Source organism: Homo sapiens, chromosome 2 (assembly GCF_000001405.40).
Source record: "Homo sapiens chromosome 2, GRCh38.p14 Primary Assembly".
Classification (NCBI taxonomy): Eukaryota; Metazoa; Chordata; class Mammalia; order Primates; family Hominidae; genus Homo; species Homo sapiens.
The window spans coordinates 63,009,592-63,031,796 of NC_000002.12; the positions used below are offsets into that span (position 1 = coordinate 63,009,592).

Sequence of the window (22,205 nt, forward strand, 5' to 3'; positions counted from 1 at the left end):
ATAAGCCTTATGTGATTCATTTACTGTAGATGGAGTAATTGGAGTATATGGAGTAAAGTCCATAGTAAAGATGGACTTTATTATGAAGTTCTATTACTGTTAGTCTTATGCAATCTATGTATACATAGTACAATTTGTACTGCTGTACAGTAGTCCCTCCTTATCCTCAGGGGATCCCCAGTGGATGCCTGAAACCTCAGACTGTACTGTGGATTCTATACATACAATGTATATATACTATGTTTTTTCCTATACATACATACCTATGATAAAGTTTAATTTATAAATTAGGCACAGTAAGAGATTAATAGCAATAACTAATAATCAAATAGAACAATTATAACAATATACTGTAATAAAAGTCATGTAAATGTAATCTCTCCCCTCTATGTTCCCCTCCCCCCAAAATTTTGTACTATACTCACCTATTTTTGGACCTCAGTAAGTGATAAGGGGGGACTACTGTATTCAATTTTTAAAGCCACTTGGAGCAAGGAAGGCTAAGAGTCAACTTTTGAATACAAATTCCTAATATTAGCTTCTAATATTATGGTACTTTGTTTTGTATATAATACTACCACGTAACTATAAATGTTTGCAAATATGACAAGTCTTAGAGATCATCTAGTATAGACCTTTTAGTTTACTGATAAAAACACTGAATCCAGAATTAGAGGTTGGCTCAAAGCTATAATTAGAGCAGGTATTTTCTGACTCACATTCCAGCCTCATTCCCTTCTCTTAATCCATACTCTTACATAGTTTGTTTAAAAAGAAATAAAGAAAGAAAAATCAATACCTAAATGTCTCAAGGAGAAACCATCTAGATTTTTAAAACCTATTAAAAAAATTATACTGGATTATTTTCCATAGTGTGTTCACAGCTAAATGAATCCCTAATTTGAGTCTCCTAAGTAAACTAAAAAAATCGTAGTCTACCTTACTCATGTGGAGTAAACCTTTTGTAATTTAGACTCTAAATGTTATAGAATGTAAATATGTGTAATAAAACAATTGTAAAACATTTATTTAGGAAAATATAACACATTTTAATGTAGCAATTTGACACTGACTTTGTGAAAATAGAGTAAGTTTCCTAGGTTCCAGTGGTTTTAGGGTTTTTAAAAATAGATGTCCATATATTGTTAAAATATTGTTAGAAATAATTACATTAGTCTTGTACCATGAACATTATACGTTCATTCCAATATGTCTTAAAATCCTTAGTAGGATTATTAACCTATGTCTTGATTCTTTTCACTTATTTCTTCAAACTACTTAAGTACACAACCCCAATTTAGCTTTCTAAGGTAACCAAATTCTAGAACATTTCTTTGTACCAGTATGCAAATGTATTTACATAGGAATAAATCTAGGTTTCCTTAAAGAGGGCAACAGAATTGAAAACTGAGGCCAACAAATAAATGAAAGTTTCTCTAAATCCATTGGATAATAGAGGCAGTGTTAAGGCTAACCATAGTGTTGAACTAAACAGAGGGATTACTCCTGGGTTTTGCATCAGTTGTTTTCTGCCGGGTGGCCTCACTTGTCAAAAAAAAAAAAAAAAAAAAAAGTTTAACAGGCAAACATTCACATGGGCACGTTGAGAAAAGAAGTTTGCTTAATTCCATCAAAGCTTAAAAAAATCAATCATTAATTTATTCTAACTACAATTGTTGGTCATTTGTGAAAAACATCTGGCCTTTAAGTCATAGGAACCTAAACACCAGTATAATGTGAACACTTGTGAAGAAGCTTCAAGTTTGGTTTAGCATAAAAAAGCAATGTTAGTGTGTGTGTAGCTTTATCTAACCATACAACAGAATTTGTTTACTTATAATACTTTAACTCCACTTAGTTTTTTTGGACTTTGACAGTATTATAAATCCAAGTGTAATGTGCTTTAAAGATTAGAAAATTGTTAATTTGCAGCTTTAAGAAGTTCAGCCTTTTTACATCTTTTTGTGGTTGTTTAACAGAATAACATTACAGCAATCTTGGTATTACAAGTCAAAAATGGTTTCTAATGTAGTCTAAATTCAAGATAGAAAATATATTTTAAACATGGTTTCAGGAGGGACATTCCCTATTTTGCATATGTCTAAGTAATTCTTAAAATATTTGTTTTAAAGCTGGACTTAAACATTCCTGACTGCTCTCTAATTTGATATAGCTAGTCAAAATGATTTTATTCAAGAAATTTTGGCAGGAGAATTCAGTGAAGGAGATAAATAATTTTGCAGCTATACTCATATTGCAAAGTATAGAACTAATTCAGTCATTATGACTGTAGTAACATCTGTTCTTTAGCTTTAAAGTGAGCAGTAGAACAACTCAATGTTGGGATACATTTAAATATTAAGCTTTGTTAGTCAAGTTTCAAGTTCTAACAAAATATAAGTAGCCACATCATAGCCACAAAATAATACATAGTAGGTCTGTAGTTTTGTTGTTACCGTTGTTGTTTTTTTAATGAACTTTTAAACATAGAAAAGGCTAACCAAAGCTGTAGGGGGTGAAAATTAGAACCTAAATTAGAAATAAAAGTTGCATCATTTTAATTTCATGCTCTAATATAATATGAACAGTTAATATTGTAAAACCTGCCTTGATGATGACATACTAGTCTAGTGGTTTCCTGTCATACAAAGGAAATAAAACATGATATAACCAAATGCTACTGTGTCATATAGAAATGATCCAATCTCTTACTGTTAAACTACCTTCACCAGATTATTCATATACTATATCTCACTCACTGCTCTTTAGCTTCCCCTAGGCTTTTAATAATTATAAATTAAGAAAGACTGTAGATACTTGTCATAAATTAGGTTTGATTCTAAGCAAAATATATAATAGCTAATAATAAAAAAGCACTTTTTCTGCAGTGATAAAAAATACTAATCTTCAGTTTAGACTTTTTTTTCATTTATGCCACAAATATGTTATTGTAACAAAAGCTAACCATGTTTCTAAAATGTACACTAAGTAAATCTCAAAATGTGTGTGCCATATGTAGAAGTCTCGTAAAATTTTGGCCCTCATTTCAGAGGCACTAATGTCCAAAGTACTGTTAGGATACTGGAGATGAGAGGAAAATAACTTAAAACAGCTTGTGAAATATAATGTTTGAAATGGTTCTTTGAGAATGTGCAGATTATGGCTTGCATAGGGACTCCTTCCAGCTCTCTGGGAAAATGAGCTGTTGACATTCTTTTGGGTCATCATTCAAGATACAAGGGCAACCACAAGGATTTAGCAGATAAATTCATCCCCAAAGACCTTTATCCATTTCACTGCAACTTGGAAACATTCATGTTGAATAGTAGCATTAATGTAGCCTACTTAGCTCTTCAAAGTGAGTCTTATGTTTAAAAAAAGAAGAGGAAAAAAGAAAAGAAAATGAAGAAGATGATGAAGAAAATCAAACGAGTAGGGTAATAACTTATTTAAGTCTTCTAAGAGGTATTTATTTACATGATTCTAAAGCACAGACCATTTCTGTTCTCTACACAGTTTCAAAAATAGAATCGGGTCTTACATAGTGAGCAATAAGCCTTTAAATTGTAACTAAGTGAATCAGTCCTGTGTTACTTGTTAGTTGTTTATAACAAAGAGCAGAAAGTAAATTAATGTTTTAATGTTATATTCTGAAATGACTGGCAGCATTTATAAACAATTGAAAATAATCTACTTTAGGTTCTGACTCTCTTTGGACTTTATGATTCAGGCAAAAGGAAAAGTCAGAGCTGTGATGAACATATTAAAGGTATGCATTAAGATTCACACACAGTCCTTTCCTATAAAGAGTGAAAAAAACTTTTTGACTCAAACTGGAATGATACTATGTAGGGCTGAATGTGCAGGAAAGTTTCCCACAATGCATTGTGCAAACCTAGGGCTAACAAATACCCTGCTGCTTGAAACCCCCCCAAAAGACAAAGGCACAATGAAATAGAAAGCTTACCACCGGTAGCTTTCAAAACGACAAACTAGGCAAACTATACATCTCCACCACTCCAATTTTGTCAGAATGCTAATGAGCTTGCTCTGATCTTTACTCGGCTTCCCGTGTTTTCTACATCTTCAAGGACCACATGGCGCTAGCAAAATAAAGACAACTAAATGAGAATTTCGAATGCTTTTTGTGTTAGGACCTGGTGCTTTTCAGTGGACGCACTCGTTGAATATTCTCAACTTAAAAGAGTACAACAGGGGGTTGGGTATGAACTTTTTAACAGGAGGAAATTTGAACAAAAGTAAATTAGTGAGATGAGGAAAATATGAGAAAAATTTCTGATTAATTTCCACTCCATAATATCAATGACACCTTCAGCCCCACTCATACTCTTCTAACAAGAGATGCTGATAAAAGATGAATGATTCTGTGTTGTTCACAGTGAATGTTTAGTGGTTTTTTAATAGCAGCATTCTACATAAAAGGCACCAGGAAGTACTCCGCATTAGCAGTTGAGATCACTAGTTAATAGGATGATGTCTTTTAGCTTTTGTCACAAGATTATTAGAAAGGATGGGTTTCTGTTCTCATCATTGCATAGTTTGGAGTGCCTGTTGAGTACAAGTGCTAAAATACAGGTTTCTCAGTATTGTTTCACATGTAAAGCAAAAAGCCTTTTAATGCAACACCTTTTTCCTTTTTACCAGGTGATTTTGTTATTGATCTCTAATCTGCCCCTTTAGCTGTATTAAATGCTTAAAGTGTTCTGCTTTTCCATGTAGCCTTGATGCTAGCTATTTGTGTCTATAAATTCATTAACATTAAAACAGGATCTATATAGACTATTAGAGTCTATGAGTTAGAAAATGGCATATTACATACTTGTTTAGGGCATAAATAACAACATAAATTTAAGATTATCTGCATAAATGTTATAAAAATATGTTCGTTGATAATATGTTATGAGATTTTAATTATGTATTTATAAGGAACATATTTTTCACAATCTCTCTTTTCTTTAGCAATCACTGTACACTTACCAGGAGAATAAGAGTAGTCAACTCCATTTCTTACCATATCCATCCATACCTAGAAAGAAGAAAAAACCAAAACTGGGTACATTTTTATATATAAAGATATTTGAACACGGCTGGGCACAGGCTCACGCCTGTAATCCCAGTACTTTGGGAGGCCGAAGCAGGTGGATCACCTGAGGTCGGGAGTTCAAGACCAGCCTGACCAACATGGAGAAACCCCGTCTCTACTAAAGATACAAAAATTAGCCGAGTGTGGTGGCGCATGCCTGTAATCCCAGCTACTCGGGAGGCTGAGGCAGGAGAATCGCTTGAGCCCGGGAGGTGGAGGTTACAGTGAGCCGAGATCACGCCATTGCACTCCAACCGGGGCAACAAGAGTGAAACTCTGTCTCAAAAAAAAAAGATATTTGAGCTTAGAGTTAAATTAATTCTGTACAACTAATAAATAACCAGGAAAGGAAGGAAAAGATGTTGATATAATAACTCTTTCCGAATTTTATATGAGGAAAAATTTTGCCAGTGTTTCTCACATTTAACACATATATTTGATGTTTCTATATACTGTTCTTTAAATGTTCTCTTATCCTGAAAAATTATATTTTTGTACATTGTACTTGGTTCACATGACTTAAATATTGCCTCTTAAGATATTATAATTTATACACCCTTCTAGCAAAATGGAGGTTAAAAATCCTGTGTTAATGGGAGTAACTTGGACAACCATAGTTTTTAATGTCAGGAAAAAGTAGAGACTATCTTCTAAATATAACAACAGTTTTTAAAAATATGCTAATTCTTTACTTTTTATTATTTAGTGTGCTATTTCTATGTTCCTCGTAAGTATGGATTATATGGGAATTAGGATTCGTGTAATAACATGTCTCCATTTTGTAAAGTTCCTGGGTTTTTGTGGTTTTGTGTTTGTTTGTTTGTTTGTTTGTTTAGAGACAGGGTCTTGCTATGTTGCCCAGGCTGGACTGGGCCTCCTGGGTTCAAGCAATTACGTTGCCTCATCCTACCAAGCAGCTGGGACTACAGGCAAGTGCCACCCTGCTTGGCTAGAGATTCTGTTTTAATAGACATTAATATGTCTATTTTCATACAGATTATAATGAGAAAAGAGACCATGTCATTAAAAATATATACATTAAACTAAGTGAGATATCTCTTTTGGCATTTTAATTACAGAACTGAAAAAAATTTAAAAAGTGAAGGTGTGTCATTAAAAATTGTTTTCTAATATGATATACCGTGATAAAATAGAAAATAAAGTTTTCTAGGTTATTAAAGTTGAATACCCAGTTGACATCTACTCATATAAAATATAAGATGGACAGACAAGGCTTTAATATTTCCTCTGCAAAGGAACTTTTCATAAACAGAAACAAAATAAATGAGGGAATTTGATGTTATAAAGCAAATAAAATGATTACTAAGGTTCTGAAGTAGTATAGAGTTACCCTATTCTTCTCTACTAAAATTTATAGAGTACTGAATCTGTAATAATAAAGAAACCAGAAAAAATGATACTTTATATCTGAAAATTTTCTACAAAGTGAATTTTTAACACAATTTTCAGAGGCAATAAGCCACATCTGTTGATAGACTCTAAGAGTTGATAGTATTGTTCCTTTCTGGAAGCAAAATGCTGACATGATTTTGATAAATATGGTGTTATAGTTCTGTTTTGTATATATGTGTTTTTAACTGTGTCAAGATTTTAGTTACTTTATGTTACCTAACTCCAAGAATGCAAAATAATACAGCATCATTTTCTAATTACAAGAAGTGATAAAACTTCATGCAATTATGTGGGGTTTTGGGGGGTTTTTTGTTTGTTTTTCTGTTTTGGGGGGTTGGGGGAATGGAGTCTCGTTCTTGTCGCCCAGGCTGGAGTGCAATGGTGTCATCTCGGCTCCCAGCAACCTCTGCCTCCCAGGTTCAAGTGATTCTCCCACCTCAGCCCCCCGAGTACCTGGGATTACAGGTACCCACCACCACGCCCGACTAATTTTTGTATTTTTAGTAGAGATGGGGTTTCATCATGTTGGCCAGGCTGGTCTCGAACTCCTGAGCTCAGGTGATCCACCCGTCTCAGCCTCCCAAAGTGCTGGGATTACAGGCATGAGCCATCGCGCCCAGCCTGAAATTATGTTTTAATTCAATATGCAGAAGGTAAAAAAGCATATAAGAACATGTCAAACAATTGATTCTGCCACATCTTGATGGAATCACAGCCAGGCAGAAGAACAGTGCTCCAAGGCCCAGCTCTCCAAGGTCTTCATGTGAACCATTGCTCCTATGCTCCTGTCCATTAGGACCCAGGGCCCATAGGTCTTTTACTGTTGTTAGCATAACTACAGGAGAGGCTGTTCTTCAATATTTAATCCATATCATACCTTCATCTGAAAACATGGACTTATCCCTTGCAGCAGTGAGGTGGGACCCTGACTGGGGGAATGATAACTGCTTACTAACTCATCTTCACAGCTGGGACCCTCAGTTTGTACACTAATAGAATGAGGACACTATGGCTTTAGAAATAAAAATTGGAGTAAAGAACTCAACTTTAATTCCCATAAAGGATGAAATTTGTTTCCATTCTTTCATGTCCTGTGATAGAGATGGGGTTTCACCATGTTGGCCAGGCTGGTCTTGAACTCCCAACCTTCAGTGACCTGCCTGCCTCGGCCTCCCAAAGTGCTGGGATTACAGGCATGAGCCACCGTCCCCGGCCCAGCCAATATACTTGGATCCCTCATTATGCCTGAGGTTTTGATCCTTGGTATGCTTATACTGAATGTAGAACCTTAACCCTGGTTAGTGAACCTAATTAGTTTACATATAGTCACACTAAGTCAAAGTTGATGTAGTATGGCAACTAAGAGAAATGTGAGAATTAAATTAGATACTTTATATCAAGCATTTGCAACCAAACACTTGGAGTATAACATTTGCAACCAAGTACTTGGTATTTGCAACCAAGCACTTGGAGCTCCATAAATGTTAGCTATTATTATTTATATAATCTTTTTAATACTTAAATTTCTCAACATCTCCTTTGAAATAAAAGATGAAAAACACCAATATGCTGGGAATTTTACCTATCATCATCAAGCACTAAAAAAAGGTATAATGAATTAATATTGTTCTCTTCTCACATTTCTACATTTTATTTATTATTCTGTATTACATATGTAGTATAGAGGCATTTGATTATTGGGAATAATCAATAATGAACAGACATATAGTTTAAAGAAAATAGTAAATTTTGTTTTAAAAGGAGAGTTTAGGGAGCTGAGTGTGGTGGCACCCACCTGTAATCCCAGCACTTTGGGAGGCTTAGGCAGGAGGATTGCTTGAAGCCAAGAGTTGAAGACAAGCCTGGGCAACAAAGCAAGACCTTGTCTCTACAAAAACTAAAAAATTTAGCTGGTTGTGGTGGCACATGACTGTAGTTCCCAGCTACTCAAGAGGCTGAGGCAGGAGAATTGCTTGAGCCCAAGAGTTTGCAGCTACAGTGAGCTATGATTGCACTCCAGCCTGAGCAACAGAATGAGACCTTGTCTCTAAAACTGAAATAAAATAAATAAAAGGAGAGTTTATATTTAAGGTGCTTATAGTACTTTTGTTTTTTACTTTTTCTACTTTCAATTTTAAAAACTGGTAATTTAATTCTTGTCTTTCTATAGTTTTTTTCTGTAGTTACAAGGAAAATTAAAATATCATACTTTCAAGTCTTCTTTATTCTCACAATTTGTTCAGCTAATTCAAGCTTCTGTTGCTATCTGTATTTCATTATTTAGACCATTTAAGAAGGAAAATATAAATTATATATAGAAGCACTAGCACTTAATTGTTGAATCATTCTGGTTCATGCGATAGGTTCTGGATCATAGGATTTCTAGAAAGGAACCTTGCTGATTCAGAAATGCAGAGGGCTTCCTAAGGTTCTCATTTCTAACATTTATTTCTTCTTCTCTCCTTGGCACTCACTGGATGCCCCAACTTTTTACTATATACAGTATTAAGTTGACTTTCTCATCTGCTGACTCATGTTTATTCATTTATCCAGAAAAACAAATGTATACAGTTTCTACCCGTGATATTTAGAAAGTATTTTCCACTACTAGAAATTTTGAATTGGAAATGTAAAGTATAATTTTTGAACCTAAAGAATTAACACATCACCATAATTTTCAATTTGGAACATGTCTGTTGCTTGAAGTGAGGAACATCCTTATTCTAGATTGCAATAAAATTTTTTAACATTTAAAAAAGTAGAAATTCCAGGAAAATGTGTTTTTCCTCAACAACTATCTATGAAACAAAATTTAGGCATTTGAACTGACTTGGCAGCAACGTGTTTTTCTTCTGAATGTGAAATTAAATTTGTGTAATGTCATGCCAATGCTAAAATAACATGTTATACATGGAATATCACCCTTTCTTTTTTTAAGAAAAATTAATCTCAGTGACTTCTTTGTGAAAGGGCCAAGACAGTGATTCTCAAACTTTTATATCCATTAAAAAAATGCCTGAGAAATTTGTTAAAAACATAGATTCCCAAGCCTTACTTAGAAGATTTTGATTCACTGGACCTGGTATGGAGCCAGTCTTCTAGGCAATTCTAATACAGGTGATCCACAGACCACATTTGAGAAACACAGAGTGAAGATGTGCTAAACTCATAGTGTTACAAGCGCTAAGAGAAGTAGCACAGCATAGAGATTTAAGAGTATAGACTTTAAAATCAGTAAGATCCCAGCTAGAATCTGGGTGTTCTTAGACAAGTTAGTTAATCTCTCCGAGCCTCTGTTTGATCATATGTTTTAAAAAAGATAAAGGCAGCAGTGGCTCACGTCTGTAATCCCAGCACTGGGAGGCCCAGGCGGGCAGATCACGAGGTTATGAGTTTGAGACCAGCCTGGCCAATATGGTGAAACCCCGTCTCTACTAAAAATACAAAAATTAGCCGGGTGTGGTGGCACACACCTGTAGTCCCAGCTACTCGGGAGGCTGAGGCAGAAGAATCACTTGAACCCAGAAGGTGGAGGTTGCAATGAACCAAGAGCATGCCATTGCACTCCAGCCTGGGCAACAGAGCGAGACTCCATCTCAAAAAAAGAAAAAGAAAGAAAGGGAAGGGAAGAGGAGGGGAGGGAAGAGGAGGGGAGGGGAGAGGAGGGGAGGAGAAGGGAAAGGGGGAGGGAAAGGAAAGGATAGGGAAGGGAAGAGGGGGAGGGAAGGAAGGAAGGAAGGAAGGAAGGAAGGAAGGAAGGAAGGAAGGAAGGAAGGAAGGAAGGAAAAAAAAATGCTGGGCTGGGTGCGGTGGCTCATGCCTGTAATTCTAGCACTTTGGGAGGCCGAGGCAGGCGGATTGCCTGAGGTCAGGAATTGGAGACCGGCCTGGCCAACATGGTGAAACCCTGTCTCTACTAAAAGTACGAAAATTAAGGCCGGGCGAGGTGGCTCATGCCTGTAATTCTAGCACTTTGGGAGGCCAAGGCAAGCAGATCACGAGGTCAGGAGTTTGAGACCAGCGTGGTCAACATGGTGAAGCCCATCTGTACTAAAAATACAAAAAATTAGCCAGGCGTGTTGGCAGGTGCCTGTAATCCCAGCTACTTGAGAGGCTGAGTCAGGAGAATCACTTGAACCTGGGTGGTGGAGGTTGCAGTGAGCCGAAATCATGCCATTGCACGCCAGCCTGTGCAACAGAGTGAGACTCTGTCTCAAAAAAAAAAAAAAAAAAAAAAAGAAAACATTAGCTGGGTGTGGTGGCAGGCGCCTATAATCCCAGCTATTTGGGAGACTGAGTCAGGAGAATCGCTTGAACCCAGGAGGTGGAGGTTGCAATGACCCGAGATTGTACCACTGCACTCAAGCCTGCACAACAGAATGAGACTACATCTCAAAAAAAAAAAAGAAAGAAAAAAGAAAGAAAAGAAAAGGCTGATAATACCTACTTCAGAAAGTTATGAGTACTTAGCACAGAACTTGGCAGAGGATGAGCACTCAATACGATAGTAGCTACTGCTATCAGTCAGAGTAGTTTAATTATTTATTATTGTTTCTGCCTTTTTTCTTTCTTTTTTTTTTTGTTTTTTGAGATGGAGTCTTGCTCAGTCGCCTAGGCTGGAGTGCAGTAGCGCGATCTCGGCTCACTGCAACATTTGCCTCCCAGGTTCAAGCCATTCTCCTGCCTCAGCCTCCTGAGTAGCTGGGATTACAGACACGTGCCACCATGCCCAGCTAATTTTTGTATTTTTAGTAGAGACAGGTTTCACCATGTTGGCCAGGATGGTCTTGAACTCCTGATCTCAGGTGATCCACCTGCCTTGGCCTCCCAAAGTGCTGGGATTACAGGTATGAGCCACCGTGCCTGGCCTCATTTTTTTTTTTTTTTTTTTTTTTTTTGAGACAAGGTCTCTCTATGTTGCCCAAGCTGTTCTCAAACTCCTGGACTCGTGATCCTCCCACCTCAGCCTTCCAAGTAGCTGGGATCACAGGCATGCACCACCACACCCAGCTGTTTCTACATTTACTTTAAATTTTCCTTAGCTTCTAATATACACATCTCGTTCTATCATAACTCTCCTCTTCTCTGCAACTCACATACACCCACTTATACTCTCTCCGTCTCTCCCTCTGTCTCTCCCCCAGCCCCCCAGAAAAGCCAAAAGTACTGGTTTAGGAATTTGACATAAGGCTAGAGAATTATTTTTGTTGTTATTGTGTTGTTTTTCAACCCTTAGGTTATATGTAAAAAGTAACTTTAATGAATGTTTTGTGAACGCCATAATTTTCACAGATAGATTAATAACTAGGAGGAAGCCTTAGGAATTGTGCTAGTCCCTTTATCTGAATTCCTACACTTATTATATGAGTGTTAGGCACTTACAGAAGCAAACTGAACTTAGACATTGTATTTTGAGAAATCTATTTTAGGACATCAGGTAAGAGTCAACTTTGCAAATGCATTTATCCTCCTCTGTTTCATCCTGACTTCATCCCCTAAGAAGATTAACCAACATTTCATAATTTGTTTTGACAGAGAATGACATCAGAGATGGATAAGTATGTATGCGTTGGCCCCTGAGTCCCGAACCAAAATCAAGGTACTTTATAGAAGGGTGCAAGCTCTGTTCCGACACCTTTCTCCCAGTTTCCCCAAATGGAAACTTTTTTTTTTTTTAAAACGGAGTCTCACACTGTCGCCCGGGCTAGAGTGTAGTGGCTCGATATCTGCTCACTACAACCTCCGCCTCCCAGGTTCAAGCAATTATCCTGCCTCAGCCTTCTGAGTAGTTGGGATTACAGGCACCTGCCACCACGCACAGCTAATTTTTTGTATTTTTAGTAGAGACGGGGTTTCACTATGTTGGCCAGGCTGCTCTCAAACTCCTGACTTCGTTATCCGCCCACCTCGGCCTCCCAAAGTGCTGGCATTACAGGAGTGAGCCACCGCGCCCGGCATTCGAAACATTTTTACTTAAAAATACGGATGCTAATGTATAGAAACAACTGGATGCATTACTGACCCTTGTTAGGTCCTTCATCTTGGAGACAGAGCTGTCCAACTGAATAGTCGTGAACCTTACTTTCATTGTTATGCAGGCTTACAAAGTTGTGTTTTCACATCATTGGCCATTCTATTGTGGAGACATTGCCAGTTCCTCCTCTCCTCCTTCCTCCTTCCTCTTTCCTCCTTCCTCCTCCTCCTCCTCTTTCTTCTTTTTCTTTTTGACAGAATCTCACTCTGTCGCACAGGCTGGAGTGCAATGGCGCAATCTCAGCTCACTGCAACCTCCACCTCCCAGGTTCAAGTGATTCTCTTGCCTCAGCCTCCCGAGTAGCTGGGACTACAGACATGCACCACCACACTCAGGTTATTTTTGTATTTTTAGTAGAGATGGGGTTTCACCATGTTGGCCAGGCTGATCTCGAACTCCTGACCTCAGGTGATCCGCCTGCCTCCGCCTCCCAAAGTGCTGGGATCACAGACATGAGCCACCGCACCTGGCCAACATTGCCAGTTCTTCCAGTGGATGGTAGATTATTAAGTCTTTCTTTTAGTTACTCATTATGTTTTTAACACTTTTCATAGGCCTGTAGGTGGTTTGCATAAGAAAACTGAACTTATATAGTCATTGTATCTGTTCCCTATCCGCACTTGTCACTTCTGAGCTGAAATGTGAAAAGTATTCATGCACTCAAAGGAGCTATCTCATCAGAAAAAGTTTACAGTGTAAGTTAAAGAAAACCTGTTGAGTTGATACCTATTTTTTTTAAAAACATTAGAGGCCGGGCACAGTGGCTCACGCCTGTAATCCTAGCATTTTGGGAGGCTGAGGCAGGCAGATCACCTGAGGTCAGGAATTCGAGACCAGCCTGGCCAATATGTCAGAACCCTATCTCTACTAAATATTCAATAATTAGCTGGGCGTGGTGGTGTGCACCTGTAATCCTAGCCACAGAAGAGGCTGAGGCAAGAGAATCGCTGGAACCCTGGGCAGTGAAGGTTGCAGTGAGCCGAGATGACACCACTGCACTCCAGCCTGGACAACATAGCAAGACTCTGTATCAAATAAAAATAGTAATAAATCAGATATTTTTAGATGCTTAATATTACTAATTAATGTTTGTAATGTTTGCTTAATAGTTTGGTTTTCTTTAACCGTTTTTTGTTTTGTTTTAATGGAATTTGGAGGAATTTTTTAGAGAAACAAAGATTAATCAAAATAGTGTGATTATTTTTACAGCTGTGTAGCTTTACAGGATCAGATTTGATACAAATATATATACATAAACGGTTATTTTCCTAAGGAAAGACAGTGGACTTTACCTGTAAAAATGAAAGTATGTAAGTTAGTTTTATCCTCTGTGTTTAAACTAGTGACATTGATACATGAATTCACAGTATACAGAGTTGCAAACATCTGGCTTGTCAGTGTCCCTTGTACTTACTGACTGGTTGTAGACTGCTCTTCTACTCTTTACCCACCCCAAAGCCAACCAATCCCATGCCCCCAGTGCCAGTTCACTCTGAATTAATAGCACCACTTGGTGGCCAAAACTAGGAATTGTGTCAAGCACTAACGTTTCTTCCCTACTAGCATGTTGTCCTCCACATTAGACACTTCTGAACTGGAACCTGACAGATCTCTTCATGGCTATATCTGTTGTGCTTTTGAAGGATCTAGCTCCATAAGGAAAGTTAAAGATACAAGTCAAGGAAGACATTTAGATTGATATAATTGTTTATTTTAAAAATGAGTTTATTACAAATTTTAGTGCTTTAAAAAATTAGAGATAGTTTTATATTTCAGGTATAAAAATTTTCTAGAGAATTGAATTTTTAAAAGTCATAAATATTTTATTTTCTTATGAGAATAAAATTAGAGGGAGCCAATGCAAGGTCTGGTGGTTCATACCTGTAATCCAAGCACTTTGGGAGGCCAAAGTGGGAGGATCAGCCAGGCGCGGTGGCTCACACCTGTAATCCCAACACTTTGGGAGGCCAAGGTGGGCGGATCATGAGGTCAGGAGTTCGAGACCAGCCTGGCCAACATGGTGAAACCCCATCTCTACTAAAAACACAAAAATTAGCCAGGCGTGGTGGCAGGTGCCTGTAATCCCAGCTACTTGGGAGGCTGAGGCACGAGAATCACTTGAACTCGGGAGGTGGAGATTGCAGTGAGCCAAGACTGCACAATTGCACTGCCGCCTGGATGACAAGAGCGAGACTCCGTCTCAAAAAGAACAAAAAACAAAACAAAAAAGATGGGAAGATTACTTGCGCCTAGGTGTTCAAGACCAGCTGGGCAACACAGCAATACCCTGTCTCTACAAATAACTTAAAATGAGCTCAGCATGGTGGCATGTGTTTGTGGTCCCAGCTACTCAGGAGCCTGAGGCAGGAGGATTGCCTGAACCCAGGAGGTCAAGGCTATAGTGAGCTGTGATGATGCCACTGTATTCCTGCCTTGGCAACACAGCAAGACCCTGTCTCAAAAAAAAAAAAAAAAAAAAAATTAGATGGAGTCAAAATTTAACACTTTTAAGACCATTTGTTTTTACTCAAATGCTTATTTTGAATCAAAGTTATACTGAACATTGCTATTCAAAAGTAGAATACTGGTTGGGCATGGTGGTTCACACCTGTAATCCCAGTGCTTTGGAAGGCTGAGGTAGGAGGATTGCTTGAGCCCAGCCTGGGCAACAGAGTGAAACCCCATGTCTACAAAAAAATTAAAATTAGCCAGACATGGTGGTGTGCACCTGTAGTCTCAGCTACTCAGGAGGCTGAGGCAGGAGGATTGCTTGACCCCAGGAGTTCAAGGTTACAGTGAGCTATGATTGCTCTCCCGAATTCTAGCCTGGGCAACAGAGCGAGATCCACTCTGGGAAAAAAAAAAAAGTAGAATGCCATTCTAGAAAAAAGTACTAAACATTCATAAAGCCAACAAAGTTTGGTTTTAGATAATGGAATTTCATTAAAAGATTAGTTTCCATCATTTATAGATGATAAAAATGTTTTCTTTAAAATCATCCTACAAAATTATTAGTGTAGATTAGGTAGATATTTTGCTAAGCTCTGAAATACGTAATTTGATTTGATGGCGACAAGTATGGGAAATGAAAATGAAGTACTGTGTCAACAGGTGTATTGTGAGGACTAAACAGATTTTAGACAGGGTTTTGATCTGTCACCCAGGCTGGATTGCTTTGATGCAGTCATAGCTCGCTGCAGCCTCCATCTGTTGGGCTCGGGCAATCCTCCCGCCTCAGGCTCTGAGTGGCTGGTACTGCAGGTGCACACCACCACACCCAGCTAACTAACTTTTTTGATTTTTAGTAGAGACAAAGCCTTGCTATATTCAGGCTGGTCTTGAACTCCTGAGCTTAAATGATCCTGTCACTTCGGCCATCCAAAGTGCTAGGATTATAGGCGTGAGGCTCTGGCCCTTTTTAAATGGGCTGTAGCTTTGGAGAGAAGGGAAAGGACATTACAACACAAGGACATAAAGCTAACTGCTTGAGATTGACGCATAAGATTTATGCCAGAATCTGAGGTGAACTATTGGGGTACCATGATATTCTTCACTCTATGGGGTATTTTAAAATTTATATCATGATAAAAGGGGCAACTGAACATATCCTGGGGATTAAGTTGAGAAGAAATATGAAAGTAACTTAATCCTTGGGAATTTTAGAGATTCTGGGAGTCACACATTAGATTTTCTCTAGACTTCTAACTGAACAAAATGGCAATTAGCACAAGGATTTTGGAATACACTTAACAGAACATGTGTAACCTTGGAAAGGGGAATGTCTAATGGAGGGTTTGCAATTGAGTAGCTGCTTTAAGAAAAGAAAAATGGGTAATGCGTAGTTGATGGGTTTGGGTGCATTGAGGGGATTTAAAAAGGCCGAATGATGTTAGGATGCATTTTGGTTGATTGGTGCAGTAAAATGAATACATAAAGACATTAGAAATATACTCAATGAAACTAACAACTTCAGACTTGCACTGAGTTGCCCAACATATTTACTTCTGTGGATAGTCCTTTCTAATGCTTGCATAGGCAGTCAGAAAAACTCTGACACTCTGCTGGGAGGAATCACCATGCCTTGCTCTATCAATAATTCTAGGAATCAAGAGAGGATACCGAAGTTTGAGTAATGAATATGGCTCTCTACCTTGTGTGTGTGTGTGTGTGTGTGTGTGTGTGTGTGTGTGTGTGTGTGTGTGTCTGTGTGTATAGAGAGTGAGAGAAAGAAAGAAACAATAATAGCAATATCATATTACTTACATAGCATTTATTTACCATGAGCCTGGCACTATTCTAAGTGCTTTACATATTTGAATTCATTTAGTCTTCACAGAACTCTATGAAATAGTACCATTGTTTCCTTTTTACAGATGAGGAAACTGAGTCTTAGGGAGAATAAATAACTTACACAAGTTCATATAGCTCTTAAAGAGCATAGCTGGACTTGAATGTATCCTGATAATCCAGTGCTAGGCAGAGTATTCTTGCTTGGCCATTTTCATTGAATGGCCATTTCCATTGCCTCAATTGGAATCACAGGTAACTTGTGGTTACCCAAGAAGTGAACAGGTCTCGTCTAGGCATCCCATTTCTGTAAGAAATCATATACCAACCTATAATTCAAGGATCTTATGGACATGTTTGCATAGGAAGAAAGGTTGACTCCTCCTATGAAGAATGGTATGCTGCTCTGACATCATTGCTAAGTCCCAATGGCATACACATGGGAAGACTAAATGAAATCCCCTCTGTTATGGATGAACTAAGTGAACAGCATGAGGGTTTTCTTGTTTATCAGAGTTTTGAAGGTTTTTTGTGTTCATTTGTTTATCAGAGCCACTCTGAAGGCTTTGTCAAAGTTGGCCTGAATTCTAAATAAAGAGCCTGTTCTGGTAAGACTGATTACCTGTGAGTCCTTAAGTGTCAAATGGGTGGCTAAGAGTGGTGGCTCACAAGACAAACTGGCTGCATTTGAGGCCTGGTTCCACCACTGACTAGCTATATGACTTGAGATAAATTATATAACCTCATTAAACAGTTGATGCTATTATTATCATCATCAACATCACTACCATTATTATTCCCAGCCTATAAGAAAGTTATTGGTTGTCAGTGATCTGATGAAGGAAATACATGACAGTCTCTTTGAGACATTGTTGTTCTCAACTTCAGGAAATGGCAATACAGACCCAAGTTCGTCATGAGTGTACTCTAGTGAAGATAATGTGTACTCAAGTGAAGAGAATGGTTCTCCAGAGAACCACTGAGGGGCACTGGATGTGGTATTATAGTGTTGAAATTCACACTAATCACCTGGCCTGGTCTGGAAGAACAGCATTTATTGCATTTGATTTCAAGGTGTTGTGTAATTGTTGAAATCCTGTTCAAGTTAGAAAGCTGCTGGAGAAGGATCTACACTGTCCTGCTTTGCTTAGGCTTCTGTGGTTTGAGAACAAATGTGGGTGCGGACTGCAAGTGGGGAAGCATAATTCCCATCAGCTCTCCCCTATAGATATTTAGGAAGGTGCATATGAGGACATTATGTTAAGTGAAATAGGGCTGGCACAGAAAGACAAGTATCATATGACCTTACTTATATTTATAATCAAAAAACATTGAACTCATAGAGAACACAGTGGTGGTTACCAGGGGCTAAGATGGTAGGGGAGGTAGGGGTAAGGTCAGGGAAGATGTTGGTGAAAGGATACAAAATTTCAGTTCGATAGGAGGAATACGTTCACCAAATCTATTGTACAACGTGGTGAGTATATGTTTTTGTTTGTTTGTTTGTTTGTTTTTCAGTGACAGGATCTCGCTATGTTGTCCATGCTTGCCTTGAACTCTTGGGCTCAAGCGATCCTCCTGTCTTGGCCTCTGAAAGTGCTGGGATTACAGGCGTGAGCCACCACACCTGGCCTTTAACAGTGTATTTTACTTCAAAATTACTAAGAGAGTTGATTTTAAGTGTTCTTACCACAAAAAAAGATAAGTATATGATGTAATCCATATGTTCATTACCATAGTTTAGACATTCCACAATGTTTACCTATTTCAAAACATGGACATGATAAATATATACGCTTTTTGTCAATTAAATAAGTAAATGAGAAGGTACATAGGAAGGATATATCACAGTGTTACCTGGTTATCTGAACCCAAGCATGATCAAAGCAGGTATAGAGTGGAAAAGAAACTTACTGTGCAGGCAGCTAATTGAGGGTTGAACTCATCCCTTATTGGAAACTGGAGGCTCTGGAGACACCCTGGGTACGATATTTTAAGGACTTTTAAAGATTTTTTTTTTTTAAGAGTTTTGGTCTTGCTATGTTCCACAGGCTGGCCTTGAACTTCTAGGCTCGAGTGATCCTCCCCTCAGCCTCCTGAGTACCTGATACTACAGGCATGCTCCACCACCCCCAGCCAATTTGTAGAGACTTTAAGCAACACTGGAGCAGGTTACCTACAAGAGTAGTTGTCCGACTGCATGATACATCTTTGGAGAAACCCTTTATTGGAAGGAACCTATCTGGAACACATTTAAAACCTATCTGTCTGAATTTGTATTTCTATATTTTAAAAATTATATATATTTAATTTTCCATACTTTCAGTAGAATCTAATCACAGTCCCACTTGGCATTTAGTAAATAAGCTATTTCATCTACACTGACAATTTCATAAGCTGATTTTAAAGGTGCTGTGCTTTTAACACCAAAATATCTTCCTATAAAAATGATGAAAACTTACTTTCCCACTGAAGCTTTTTGCTTTATAAGTATTTGATATTCTGTTGTCATTCTTTTCTTCAAATTATATCAATTTGTACTTCATATTGTAATTCTCATTTTTTAAACTTTATGTTCATAACCAGCAAACTTGTAGATGTGTTCTGTTAGTCCATAATTTTCAATCTTAAAATGTACCTTTTTTATTTTTTGATATTAAGCAGTATTCCATTATCTACTTTTTTTTTTAAGTCTCTAAAACCCACTGTCAATAACTAGACTATCATTATTTGGAGCACAGCCACATTGTTATGTTACCATAGCTATGGCTATCTTTTGTAGGCCACAGTGACACTGCTGACCCTGTAGGGCATCTGCTTTGTTTTTCCAGCTGCAGAGATGGGTTTGTACTGATTCACCCACATTTTTCACCTATCCTGCATATGACTAATGGAACACTAACTATAGACTTTGTTATGGGAGCCAAGATTAAAAATACAATTTGTGTCCATGAAATTGTTTACAGATTTACCCTTCATCTAGCTATCCCTGGTTATGTCTGTCTCCATACTAGATTATGCGGCCTTTGAGGGCAGGGACCACATCTTGGTTATCTTGTATCTCCAGTTCCTGCCTCAGGGCTATATACACCATCATCACCCCCTTCATTATTATCATCATAGCTTGTAGTCTTGGGTTCTGCACTAAGTACTTTATGTGGATTTTCTCAATTCTTACAACAATCGTGAAGTAAGTAATACCATTATCCATATAGAGATGAAGAAACTGAGGTTTAGAGAGTTTCAATAATTAGTCTGAGATCAAGGGGCTCAATTTTTTTTAAAAGCTAAACTGAACAAAAGCTATATTTTTTGTTTTTGAGATGAAGTCTTGCTCTGTCGTCCAGGCTAGAGTGCAGTGGCGCAGTCTCAGCTCACAACCTTCACCTCCCAGATTCAAGCGATTCTTCTGCCTCAGCCTCCCGAGTAGCTGGGATTACAGGCACACGCCACCATGCCTGGCCAATTTTTTTGTATTTTTAGTAGAGATGGGGTTTCACCATGTTGGTCAGGCTGGTCTCAAACTCCTGATCTCAGGTGATCTGCCCACCTCAGCCTCCCAAAGTGCTGGGATTACAGGCATGAGCCACCATGCCTGGCCAACAGAAGCCATATTGGGTGTGGATGCAATGTTCATCTTATTTGCATTATATTCAGAATGACTGATCTAACCAACCATGAAACTATAGATACTATGTAATTATATATCATGCTTGACACTACCAGAATTTATAGTTATATCTACAGGAGTTTCTCAGAATTAATGTAAGTAAACATTCATAATATGCTCCTTAATTTATAAGAGGTCTTTATTCTAAAGTTCATTTATGAGTCAGTTGCTCTATCACGTGTATCCAAATAACCTAAATAAAGATGAACCCCATTCTCCCAATGACAATATCCCCCCTGAAATTTTGGCCTACATGAATGTATAAATGCTTATAAATATCTGTTTTAATATTTAGCTATATATATATATACACACACACACACACACACATTTAAAAATCACATCTTAAAATACATTAACCTAGAAATATTGCTTTTCTCCACTTCCATTTTTTTTCTTTTTTTTTGAGACGGAGTCTCGCTCTATCGCCCAGGCTGGAGTGCAGTGGTGCAATCTCGGCCCACTGCAAGCTCCACCTCCCAGGTTCACGCCATTCTCCTGCCTCAGCCTCCCAAGTAGCTGGGACTACAGGCGCCCACCACCACACCCAGCTAATTTTTTTTTTGTATTTTTAGTAGAGACGGGGTTTCACTGTGTTAGCCAGGGTGGTCTTGATTTTGTGATCTAATGATCTGCCTGCCTCGGCATCCCAAAGTGCTGGGACTACAGGCATGAACCCGCACACCCAGCTTTTTTTTTTTTTTTTTTTTTTTTGAGATGGAGTTTCGCTCTGTCGTCCAGGCTGGAGTGCAGTGGTGTGGTCTCAGCTCACTGCAACCTCCGCCTCTTAGGTTCAAGTGATTCTCCTGCCTTGGCCTCCTGAGTAGCTGGGATCACAGGCATGCGCCACCACACCCAGCTAATTTTTTGTATTTTTAGTAGAGACAGGGTTTCACCATGTTGGCCAGCCTAGTCTCGAACTCCTGACCTCAGGTGATCCGCCCACCTCGGCCTCCCAAAGTGCTGAGATTACAGGCGTGAGCCACTGCGCCCAGCTTCCACTCCCACTTTTAAAGAAATTATTTTATTCAACTATTCATGTTCATCTTTGATATTAATATATCTGTCACTTCTAGAGCCACTTGAGTCATTCCCATGACATGACTGTGAGAAGGCTATAGGACAGGGAGTGGGTAGAATGGAGTCAGCCAGATGCAGCCCAAACAAAAAGGCCTTCAGGAGAGTGGAGAGCTGTCAGGGGGAGGCATCCATCTGTAAGGGAAGCTTACAATTCAAGTTTTCCCCTTACTAGAGGTCGCTTAATTGATTCTCCAAGAAGACTACTGTCTATCCAGTAGAATTATGCCTGTAAAAGTGACTGACTGTATTTTATCCTATTTTACAAAATACATTAAATGTACCTTAAAAAATAAATACAGCTTTGGAGTTCTGAGTGTTTTAACTTTAGTCAAATGCTCATCTGTAGATTGTCAAGATAGTCATGCGTTACCTGAAATGTGAGTCATTTACCTTTAAAGGCTCTTAGCAATAAAAAGTTATGGATGCATCATCATCCATATGTAATTTAAAAAAAATACTAAACTATTGGCTGGGCACAGTGTCTCACACCTGTAATCCCAGCACTTTGGAAGGCCGAGGTGGGCAAATCATTTGAAGCCAGCAGTGTGAGACCAGCCTGGCCACCATGGCGAAACCCCACGTCTACTGAAAATACAAAAATCAGCCAGGTGTGGTGG

General features: G+C 38.3%; 1 protein-coding gene across 52 annotated transcripts in view, besides 1 other annotated feature; it reads left to right on the plus strand.

Moving 5' to 3' along the window:
- Nucleotides 1-22,205, plus strand: part of EHBP1 (EH domain binding protein 1) — a 372,610-nt gene that overhangs the window by 335,714 nt on the left and 14,691 nt on the right. The window lies entirely within an intron of this gene.
- Nucleotides 14,072-14,141: an enhancer, noted in NCBI's record as "active region_15873". NCBI's record gives its function as "activates an Ori minimal core promoter by ATAC-STARR-seq in GM12878 lymphoblastoid cells {active_cell/tissue: GM12878}" and the evidence as "EXISTENCE:reporter gene assay evidence [ECO:0000049][PMID:35858748]".